The sequence below is a fragment of the Homo sapiens genome, chromosome 10 (genome assembly GCF_000001405.40).
Source record: "Homo sapiens chromosome 10, GRCh38.p14 Primary Assembly".
Lineage (NCBI taxonomy): Eukaryota > Metazoa > Chordata > Mammalia > Primates > Hominidae > Homo > Homo sapiens.
Window position 1 is genome coordinate 91798311 of NC_000010.11, and position 12021 is coordinate 91810331.

Consider the following 12021-nt stretch of genomic DNA (forward strand, 5'->3'; position numbering starts at 1 on the left):
TCGCGCCGCCTCGCTAGCCGAAACCTGCCCAGCCGGTGCCCGGCCACTGCGCACGCGCGGGACGACGTCACGTGCGCTCCCGGGGCTGGACGGAGCTGGCAGGAGGGGCCTTGCCAGCTTCCGCCGCCGCGTCGTTTCAGGACCCGGACGGCGGATTCGCGCTGCCTCCGCCGCCGCGGGGCAGCCGGGGGGCAGGGAGCCCAGCGAGGGGCGCGCGTGGGCGCGGCCATGGGACTGCGCCGGATCCGGTGACAGCAGGGAGCCAAGCGGCCCGGGCCCTGAGCGCGTCTTCTCCGGGGGGCCTCGCCCTCCTGCTCGCGGGGCCGGGGCTCCTGCTCCGGTTGCTGGCGCTGTTGCTGGCTGTGGCGGCGGCCAGGATCATGTCGGGTCGCCGCTGCGCCGGCGGGGGAGCGGCCTGCGCGAGCGCCGCGGCCGAGGCCGTGGAGCCGGCCGCCCGAGAGCTGTTCGAGGCGTGCCGCAACGGGGACGTGGAACGAGTCAAGAGGCTGGTGACGCCTGAGAAGGTGAACAGCCGCGACACGGCGGGCAGGAAATCCACCCCGCTGCACTTCGCCGCAGGTAACCGGGGCCAGCGTCCCCTCGCCTCGCTCCAGACCCCACCTGCGCAGCCGGGGCCCACAGGTCTGAAACCAGTGCTCCTCCGCCTCCCGACCTTTCTCCAGGACTCTGGTCCTGGTGATCTCGCTCTCTTCCAGTGGGGACTAAGGAGATTAGGGGTAGGGTGAGCGTGCCACACTCGCTGGAAGTTTTTTGTTTTGTCTTGGTTTGGTTTTTTTGCCAGGTGTTGGGGGTGGTTTGGGGTTTTGGCTTTGTTTTGTTTTACAGTATCAACAATACCTGTACCAACTTCCGGTCTTGTTACCCTAGAAGGCCTCTACACACAAGAAAGAGTAGGGGACGTAGTTGATAGACCTTATGATTTAAAAGGTCAGTTACCTCCAAAATTTTTCGTTCTTGCAAGTTCCATTTGGGTTAAGGTCTTGAAGGACTTTGTAAAATACAAGGATGTAATTTAGGAGGAGTAGCTTAATAGGACGTTGACACATTAGCGTTAATTGGTTTATCAGAATAGCCAATCATTACCAAGTTTCTGGAGTGACTAGAACGGGAAATAGGCAAGTTTGGGAGAACTGAAACCTGACTTAGGCTGGGTGCGGGAAGCCTTAGACACACACACATACAAGTTGGGCGGAAAGTGGTAGTATAAGAGAAAAGATAGTGCAAGTACTTTAGCTTGAATCTAGAATTTAAGTTGGGACTAACCTTGCTTCATTCTGAAATTTAGATCGTTTGAATTACATTATTTTAATATTTATTAGGTTCACTTTATGATTTAAGCATATTAAATTTAGTCGAAAAATTTAAAAGAGCCATAGATGGGATATTCAGCTTATTCCCATAAAGCATGCATGCTGTTCACTTGTAGGAAAGATGATGACTGTTTCTAACTTCAGGTGAGTCATGCGTGATTGAAAATGGGAGTACCTCCTCTTACCTCTGACAATCCTGGTTTTTTGTTTTGTGTATTTCATGATTGTTTAAAACAATTTTTTGAAAAATCGGGGAATACCTTTTAAAGTACTCCTGTTCTTTTGGGGCTAGATTGATGAAGAGAAAAGGAGCAGTGAGAAATATTTCCTCTTTCACAGATATTACTTTTACACTTTCTACCAATTGGAGATTTGTTCGCTTTAACCTGTTCCAGATTTTAAATGTAAATACTACCAGGAGGTATGCTTTTTTGATCAATTGCACCTTTGTTGGATTTCCATTGGGGAGTCTTTTAAAAAGAAGAAAGTTTAGGGAACCTAGGTGGGAGAACTAGAAACGGTTTGTGGGCAATGGAAAGAGAAGGAAGAATACTTAAGTCAAACACACCTAGTTAGCCTTTTTGCCCGAAATTTCGGTGGTAAGTGCTGCCGTTCTTCAGCTAATTTAGGTTGTCCTGTTTGACCATGTAGTCAACATTTAAACAACTCATTTGGCAAACTGTCACGATCAACTGATACATAAGCCAAAGGGTAGGGTTACTTAGATTCTGTTCACTTGATCTGTGGGATAAAAATAACCAAGAAAGATCTTAGTTGCTACCTTTCAAGAATTTGGTGTATTAGTGAGTTCATATCTGAAAATAGTAATATTTAGAGGTGTAAGATTATGTTATTAGATCCTCAGTGACCTTGTTCCTTCTCTGCCTTCCCACCTTCAGTTCTGTCCCAACGTTTCAAAGCATATTTTTTACATAGGTTTCATTTTGTTCAAGTTTGGAAGACTTAATATTTTGGAAACCAACCCACCCCTCACAACTTACCCAAATTATCAGGTATAGGTTATCAGATTAAGAGTTAAAGGTATAAAAAGGGAGTAATAAAAATTATGAAGTGGGGGTTCTTCATTCAACCAGAGCTTTTGAAGTCCTGCACTTCAATCATATAAGAAACTTTTTTAAAAATTGGGTTTGTAAATTTAATCTGAATTTTAGGTTCATCAGAGAGAAGCTTTTTAAGTGCATCCAGCTACCTTTTCACTTAATATATGGAGAATATACTTTATAATCTGTTGTAGGTAGTGAGTTATCAGTCATGTTAATGTGCCTGCAAGCATACTGTTGGAAGTTCAACACAGGTGGTGGTATTATGTAACTGCCTGATCAAGCAGTTTCTTGTGTTTGTACTTCAGTCATAGAGTGAGCTATTGGAGGTGATGGGGGACATCATTATTTTAAAATTTTTTTAGCTGATTAAAGTTTGGAGATTTTACTGGGGGAGGCATGTTTTTGTCTTTTTGTTTTGATTCCCAAGTAATATTAGGACTGAGAGATTCGTGCAGACCACAGAAAATGAAAATTAGTTTAGAAAACATTTGCTTTAATTTCATCCCCAAAAGTTAGTTCAATTAAAAGAATAATCCGTTGCTAGCACCAAGAGAGTTAAATTCTGTTAATGAAGAAGATAGTCAACATAAACAGGAATTTTCCTTCTACTAGGTGTTTTTTTATTACTGAACTAGATTGCATACTTTTCTTCTAGATAAATATTATTTAAGAAGTAATTCCTTAGGAGAAAAATGACTCTGTAAATTGTTTCCTTTTCAGTCCGCCTGCCACTGCCCCCGACCATACGCAGATATACACAAGACAGGAATTTTTCTTTTTTTTTTTGAGATGGAGTCTAGTTCTGTCTCCCAGGCTGGAGTGCAGCGTCACGATCTCAGCTCACTGCAACCCCCACCTTCCGGGTTCGACCGATTCTCCTGTCTCAGCCTCCTAAGTAGCTGGGATTACAGGTGCGCACTGCCACGCCCGGCAAATTTTTGTATTTTTAGTAGAGACAGGGTTTCAACATGTTGGTCAGGCTGGTCTCAAACTCCTGATCTCGTGATCCGCCTGCCTCGGCCTCCCAAAGTGCTGGGATTACAGGCGTGAGCCACTGCGCCCGGCCAGGAATGATTTTTTTCCAACACAACAGAATTTGTAGAGGCAAGTTGGTGGTAGGGTGGCTGTTGCTCTAATTTTACTAAAAGCAAAAGTATCTGAAATTCTTGACAGTTAATGCCCTAGAAAACAGCAAATTTCAGTAAAGAAGACTCTGCTTCTGTGAACTTATTTCTAAAAAGTAAAGAAGAGGTGACACAAACTTGGGGAGAAAGTTATCTTGATGCCCATCATAGAAATGAAAGAAATATGTGGCATTCCTTACAATCTTAGAACTCTTGGAGTAGGGGTAGGAGCTTGCATTGTAGAGTCCTAGCTAAACAAGGTAACACTTATTTTATATTTATAGTATGTTATGTTACTGTTAGTATGAGTATGCTACTGAACCACATACATAGGACCAGTTAGACCGGACTTGGATTATTATATTCAATTGTGTGAATCAAATATAAGAGGGGATTTTTTTATTCAGAGGAGGAAAGTGGAATCAGAGCATCCAGAATTTATTGCACAAGCATAGATACGAAAATTAGTGCTGCTTATTCTAGAGATGAAAGAAGACTATACCATGTTATCGTCTTCACATATGTGGAAGAATCACAAAGAGTGAGTGGATATTACTTGTGTGGCTTTGGGAGTCAAAACTAAGGCCAGCAGGTGGAAGGTTACAAGGGGTCAGACAACCTTTAACAATATTCAGCGATCGAACTGTCTGGAAGTATCCAAGCAGTGGCTGGATTGGCATTTTTCAGAGATGTTGTAGAGAGGATTTCAGCCTAGTTCGACCAACAGGTTATAATCTCACTAGTACAAGAAAGTGGGATGATTCCTCCAATTGAAGGCTTTAGCTGCTCAGCTACCAAAGATATACTAGCTTTTGTGATTGCCATTCATATCTTTTCCCAAAATGATAACCATTGGAGACCTCCAATAACCTCTCAGTAACATTTTCTTCTTTGGCTGTAGGCCAACATCATAGTTACAAGAGATGCACAAAATTTATCCAACACTCTTCACCTAGAACTACAGTTATAGATTGTTGTTTTCAGGATTGGTTTTTGCTATGGGAGATAAATCATACATCAGCAGGAAACCCTAGTGTCAAATAAAGATCAGTCTATTTAGGAATTCATCATCTTTCTTGACTTATCAAATCTCCCAATGTATTATCAAGACTTTGAGCTATACCTTTGCCCTCAGCGCTTGCTGGATTTGGAGGTAGACAGTTGACTTCAATAACAAGAGTTTGGAGTACTCCTTTCAGTGTACCCCCATTCAGATGGTCAAAATTTCATCACCGTAGAGGCCATGGCGTTCTTTTCCAAGTTTCTACTAATCTGGCCAGACAGTATGTCTATCCCAAGTTGAGATGGGCAAAGTCCTCTCCCTTGTATTCTTCGTTCTTAAGAAGTATATGTGGGAAATAATTTTCTGGATCTTAGCAAACTAAAGTTAATAGTAAATGAGGCCCGGGCACAGTGCCACAGGCTATAATCCCAGCACTCTGGGAGGCAAAGGCAGGAGTATCACCTGAACTCAAGAGTTCAAGACCAGCCTGGGCAACAATGGTGACACCTCATCTCTACAAGAAAATAGAAAAATGAGCCGGGCATGGTGGCACAGAACTGACACTCTGGGAGGCAAAGACAGGAGTATCACTTGAGCTTAAGAGTTCAAGAGCAGCCTGGGCAACATGGCGAAACCCCATCTCTACAAAAAAATAGAAAAAGTAGCCAGGCATGGTGGTGCAGGCCTGTAGTCCTAGCTACTTGGGAGGCTAAGGTTAGAGGATTACTTGAGCCAAGGCTGCAGTGAGCCGAGATTGCGCCATTGCACTCTAGGCTGGGCAACAGAGGGAAACCTTGTAACACAAAATAGTAAATGAGAAGTTTAAAATGACATTCCTCAGAAAAAATGTGTCACTGAGAGTCCTGGCTAAAGGTTGCTTGAAAGCTGAAGGCTGTTTGATTATACCTTCCAATCTCCCAGACTACAGGAGCTTTGTTTTGTGGCATTTGTTGACATTTTTCCAGAACTTTGCCTTTGGACAAAACCCTGTGTGATAGCCTACCTTTAGATATTGCAAGACATCACCATCTCATATGGGACCAATTGTGTTATCAGTGATTAATCCCACCTTTGGACTATGAAAGACAGGAGGGGGATAGCATTTAGTTAAACTTCCTAAGAGTCTAAGTTGGTTTCTCTGTAGGAACTTGACTGCCTCACAGCTTTTGGGAAACCATTCAGATGAAAGCATGTTTCCAGTGTAGCAGCAAAATGTGATATTATTAACAATAGTCATAGTTAGCAAGCAGTACCTGGAGTTGCTGAAACTGATGGCATCTAGATAAGTAATAAATTTGACAAGAGGCTGCTTTTCTCTGTTTTCACAAATCATTAACACCATATTCTTTGTGAGGATCCTTTCCTATTCCAGCAGAGTATTAGACATGCATTAAACAAATGTTTGTCAAGTCCTGCTATATGCCAGACACTGACCTTGTCCCTGAGTAAACTGAAATGAACAGGACACAATACCTGCCATTAACTGACACATGGTTAATGTGGTCAACAAGTATACTTTACAGATAGGCCTGCTTTGCTTCACTGTAAGTACTATATAGTAGATTCATACTCTGTGTATGGTTTCATCAGAATTTTCACAAGTAGAACAGTGTTTGAAGTTGAGTGCTGTTCCATAATTACAAAATAAACTACAGTGTGTCCTGAGCAGCCATGACTACCAACTTTATTTAGGCTTCTGGTTCCTCATAAAGAGATCCTTAGAATATGGAGATTTACATTGACTCTGATGATATGCCTATTCATGTTCTACCTGGCCAGTGAGAACATGATCAGAATATACCCTGCAGAGCATTTTTTCTTCCAGAAATTGGTGCTTAACAGAAGTACTTTGAACTATTCTTGAGACCATAACAATAGAGATTTTATCAAGGATTACTCCTCAGTTTGGGAAGTATGGTTTTTTGGGGGTTGTGGGGGTGAGGCACAGAGTTTCACTCTTGTCGCCCAGGCTGGAGTGCAGTGGTGCGATCTTGGCTCACTTCAACCTCCACCTCCCAGGTTCAAGCAATTCTCCTGCCTCCTGCTTCAGCCTCCCGAGTAGCTGGGATTACAGGTATGTACCACCACGCCTGGCTAATTTTTATATTTTTAGTAGAAACAGGGTTTCACCATGTTGGCTATGGTGGTCTCGAATTCCTGACCTCAGGTGATCCACCCACCTCTGTCTCCCAAAGTGCTGGGATTACAGGTGTGAGCCACAGTGCCCAGCCAGGAAGTATCTTCAATCTAAAGATTTCGCCAAACTCCAAGCAACTTTTTTTTTTTTTTTTAAACATAGCTACCTATTGACTGCCTCCAAATAATTTCCTTTAAGTGCCCAAGATGTGGCTTCAAACATTAAAATCTCAGACTATTAATCTACTGTCTCAGCATAGCAGATTACATTCACTCACATATTGTAGTCCTTACAGTGTGACTGTAAAATCATACCTCTACTATCAGTCACCAGACTGGTTTCAGACATCTTAATGACTAGGGAATCATGTTGATACAGACATTGACACAGAAGTCTGTGTCTTGGAATGTTGGTAACTATGTGGATATAATCACTTTACCCATTCTACCCATATCGATCGCCTCAGCTAAAACTTCAGTTTCAGTTATGTCTTTCTCTTTAACTCTGATTTCATGCAACCCTCTTCTCTTTCCAGCCTTATTTTGACAGAAGGCTACTACTTGACCTTCCTTTAGATCACCAATCCTTTGGGACAGATATCTTCCCAGTTGACACTGTCTCTCATAACAGCTAGTTATTTTACTCCAGCTATTTCTGTGCACATCTAACTCTCCTTTCTGGGGGAGTTAACCTGTGAGTCACCATTTTGATTACTTCAGATATGCTTATTACTGCTGAAGAATAGTAATCCTTATTCTAAAATGCTTGGGTACATCAAATAACTTTATAGAGGTAGCTTTACAGGTTTTTCTTTATTTTGATTCTTTTTCTCTTACTCTCCAATTTAAGAAGCCTTTTTCTAAAAGCACTTCCTGCAGGTGGGTGCTAAGTGGTTGGGATAGCAGAACCATAGATTAGGGCAACTGTAGATAACCTACTTGGGGAGGACAGTGTGATCAGCAATGCCCAGGAAGTGATCAGGAAGGAAGGCTGAAGTCAGGGCTAATGACAGCAAGAGCTGACCTTCCCCTCTGACATTTTCCTACTTGGCTTCTGCAATGCCATTCTTTCTCTTTTTTTTTTTTTTTTTTTTATATTTTATCTAATATTTTATTTACTGATCTCTCTGAAACATGCCAAAATTCATATAGCTAAGGGAACTTACCATGCTAAAATGTTGTTCAACATGACAAATTTATACAAAACATATTTCAATGTAGTGCCTTCATTTCATTCTTGAGGAATCAACATTACATTTAGGTGGTGAAATTTAGGATACAAATATAATTATCAAATATCGTACTTCTAGTTTACTGGAAAACATAACAGTTGTGACAGTAACACCTAACACCTTGGTTAATTAAAGACAGAAAATGGGCAGGGGTGTCACAGAAGTATGCAAGGATTTGACAGTTCAAACTAATCCATAGCCCTTCTGAGAAACTACAGATGGAAAATATGTAGTAAATATTTCTGTAATATGGTGGTTTCAGTACATTATAGCACAGTGATCATCATTCCATTCATACACTCAAATAAATGCTGCTTCTGATCACTGAAAACTAGATTCAAAGTCATTGCTCAACAAGCTGATACTACAAATCCCTTATATTAACAGGTACTTTAAATGTGGAAATAAGGCAAAGCATACTTGTTAGTCACAATTACTTTTAGATATAATTGAGACTACACTGCTATACATAATTAGGTACACAGTATGTATAACAATGCATACTATGGTGTGGGGTTAATTCCAATTACCATATTTTATATTTATTGGTCACAACAGCATACATTTTATGCTCCAAAATACATGGATCTGACAAAATGGTTACATTTAATGTTCTTTTAAGGAAAGATGAACTAAATTTAAGAAGAATTGGTTTTTCCTAATATCTCATTTTCAAATTACTGATACAAATTTGCCAGAGAAACAATTACATGTTTTACCTAACATCAAATAATCTCCAGTTTCTAAGACAGATGCATTTCTTGTTCAGTTTCCAAAAGTAAATAAAGGCTTTCTAACTGAAAACATTTGCATCCCTAGCTCTCTAAAGTAAACATTAAAAAGAAAATTACAAAAAATGACCTCTAAGCTTCTGAACAGTCCACTTAGTTACATAAAGTACTTTCTGTCCCAACACTTTCTCTAATTCAAAAGATATTTACTTCCTAAGTACACGACAAAGTCTTCATTTCAAACCATTCACTCAGTTTCCATGGTAACATTGCGGGCTTCCTTGGCTACCATAAGTCGCATTAGTTGACTGTGGAATTTCTCAATCTTCTTTACATCTTGAGCTTGGTCTGTTTTATACACCAAACAAACTAAATCATCTGTTACTTTAACACACAAGTTCCCATCAGAATGCCTATATTTGAGAACCACACGTGCCTTCATAGGGTCAGCGAGGTAAAGCTTCTCGGCAGCGCGGCTGAACTCCTCCCAGGTCTGGTACTGCGGCATCGTGGCCTAGAGTGGAAAAGTAAAGAGAAGCAAGGCCTCAGAACCCGGCCCAACAAACTACCTACGTCCGGGAGTCGCCAACCGACGCGAGTCCTGCAATGCCATTCTTTCTTAGCTTTACTTCTCAGACTCCTTTTCATATACTGTGATACCTTAATTCAGCAAATGTCAACAAATTGCTCTGTACCATGTACTCTAAAGGATGCTGGGGAAGTAGTGATGAATTAAGATGCACATGGCTCTTGTCCTTCATGGAACTAAGAGTCTAGAAAATGCCGGGCGCAGTGGCTCATGCCTGTAATCCCAGCACTTCGGGAGGCCGAGGCGAGCGGCTCACGAGGTCAGGAGATCGAGACCATCCTGGCTAACATGGTGAAACCCCCCCTTTACTAAAAATACAAAAAAAATTAGCCAGGCGTGGTGGCGGGCACCTGTAGCCCCAGCTACTCTGGAGGCTGAAGCAGGAGAATGGCATGAACCCGGGAGGCAGAGCTTGCAGTGAGCTGAGATTGGGCCACTGCACTTCAGCCTGGGGGACAGAGCGAGACTCTGTCTCAAAAAAAAAAAAAAAAAGAGTCTAGAAAATAAGGCAGTAATTACAAATTTTAATAAGTGACAAATACTGCTATGAACAGCAAAGACAAAAATCCCTGTTGTATGGAGCTTGCATTCTAGTGAAGGAGGTGGGAGATAGACCAACTAAATGGTGTGAAGATAGGAAAAAATGTGGATGGGCAGAAGGGACTATTTTAGATGGGATGGTCAGGGATAGCCTTCTTAAGGAGGTGACATTTAAACAAACCAGGTAATGAGTAGAAGTGAGGATGCTTTGTGCAAGGGAAGAGCATTCCAAGCAGAAGGGTGGCATGTACCAAGTCGCTGACATACTTGACAAACTGAAAGTATATTATAGTTGGGAAAGGGAAGAATCGTGTGAAATGAAATTAGAGAAGAAGTTGAGGGCCAGTTCATGAAGGAGCTTTTAAGGCCATAGTAGAGTGTTTGAATTTTATTCTGAGAGCATCAGTGGGAAGCCAAGGAATTATTTTAAACAGGGCTGTGATATTATTATTTTTAAAAGGTCACTAGAGACAAGTGGAAATGAGAGACCTATTTAGGGGAGACATTGCAGGAGCTTATGCTGGAGGTGATAGTGGTTGGAGTAAGGTAATGTCAGTGGAAATAGAAGTTGGAAACGTGTTGAGTTTGAGATACCTTTAAAATATCCAGAAGGAAATATGTTAAGCAAACATTCTGGAATTTGGGTGAAAAGTGTAGACTGGAGATTTAAATCTGAGGGTTGTGTATCTAGGTGGTATTTAAAGCCATGGGATCAGATAAGATTATCTAAAAAGAGGTTAGAGAACTGAGTCTTGAGGAATCCCAATATTTAGAAATTAGGTAGAGGAAGCAATAAGCCCTCAGTGAGATATGACATGTCTAAAACTTGGACTCTTCATCTTCTGCCACAAACCTATTTTCATCTGCAGCCTTGCCCCCATTGCTGTTGATGGCAACTTCACTCTTCCATTACTGAGGCCAAAAACCTTGGCAGTAGTGTGTATAGTAGTAAGATTGGAAACAACCTAACTATGTATGAGAATGGAACTAGTTACATTTTGATACTCCCAATCAAGAAAATATATAAAATACTGATAGGAGTTGATTTCTGGGATATTATTAATAATAGATGTTTTTTAAGAAAGGAAGATGTAAACACTATCTTTAAAGATATATATTAGCAGATGTTTGCTTGCATGTATATAAAATAACTTCAACGTATGTGAAAAAAAGTGGTAACCAGAAGGAAGGGAACTGGGAAGCTGGGAATAGGGGTGGGAGGAAGGCTTCACCAGCCATGTGAGTATTACCTATGGTGTTCACATGAACCATGTGGGTATACTATCCTAACCAAATCAGTCTTAATCTTAGCCCTTATCATCTGGGCTGGGCGCGGTGGCTCACGCCTGTAATCCCAGCACTTTGGGAGGCCGAGGCGGGCGGATCACAAGGTCAGGAGATCGAGACCATCTTGGCTAACACGGTGAAACCCCGTCTCTACTAAAAATACAAAAAATTAGCTGGGCGTGGTGGCGGGCGCCTGTAGTCCCAGCTACTCGGGAGGCTGAGGCAGGAGAATGGCGTGAACCTGGGAGGCGGAGCTTGCAGTGAGCCGAGATTGCGCCACTGCAATCCGGCCTGGGCTAAACAGCGGGACTCTGTCTCAAAAAAAAAAAAAAAAATCTTAGCCCTTATCATCTGTCACCTAGACTATGGCACATAGCATTCTAAAACCTTAAGGACCTATCTACTGCCTGTCTCTGCATTTGATTCATTTATTCACGCAATTGCCAAGGTGATCTTTCTTTAAAGAAAAAAAAAGGCAAATAGTCACTGCCCTAAACACATCATTCTGTAACTAATGATGTGTTGTAGCAGTATTTTTCAAACTGTTTCTAAGAGGTGCTCAGGGATACAGGAATATTTTCTTTTGGGTCTTTGTGAGGGGAAGAAGGAGGATTCAACCAGAATAGTTTTTATTTTATTCAATTAATTTGCAGTTCTATGAATGCCAACTATGTACTAGGCATTGGGTATTTAGCAGTAAACATGACCTGCACTTATTATAATCTTAAATAAGATCTAATTGAAATCTGACTGGGCCCAGTGCGGTGGCTTGTGCCTGTAATCCCCACACTTTGGGAGGCTGAGGATTACTTGAGGTCAGAAGTTCGAGACCAGCCTGGCCAACATGGCAATACCCCATGTCTACTAAAAATACAAAAAAATTAGCCAGGCATGGTGGTGCACACCTGTAGTCCCAGCTACTCAGGAAGCTAAGGCAGGAGAATCGCTTAAGCCTGGGAGGCAGAGGTTGCAGTGAGCCGAGAT

General features: G+C 41.8%; 1 protein-coding gene and 1 pseudogene across 4 annotated transcripts in view, besides 1 other annotated feature; one reads left to right on the forward strand and one right to left on the reverse strand.

The window, feature by feature from the left end:
• Positions 75-484: a silencer, noted in NCBI's record as "silent region_2609". NCBI's record gives its function as "represses an Ori minimal core promoter by ATAC-STARR-seq in GM12878 lymphoblastoid cells {active_cell/tissue: GM12878}" and the evidence as "EXISTENCE:reporter gene assay evidence [ECO:0000049][PMID:35858748]".
• The window catches only part of TNKS2 (tankyrase 2), a 67050-nt gene continuing 55144 nt past the window's right edge, over positions 116-12021 (forward strand). For 2 of the 4 annotated variants that reach the window (XM_011540213.2, XM_017016701.2), the window contains exon 1: positions 116-642. In XM_011540213.2, coding sequence (XP_011538515.1) covers positions 381-642 — 262 coding nt within the window. In that variant the 5' untranslated portion in view covers positions 116-380. The remainder of the gene's footprint in view (positions 643-12021) is intronic. The other 2 variants (NM_025235.4, XM_047425795.1) reach the window with 1 other exon arrangement.
• Positions 7754-9223, reverse strand: SRP9P1 (signal recognition particle 9 pseudogene 1; annotated as a pseudogene).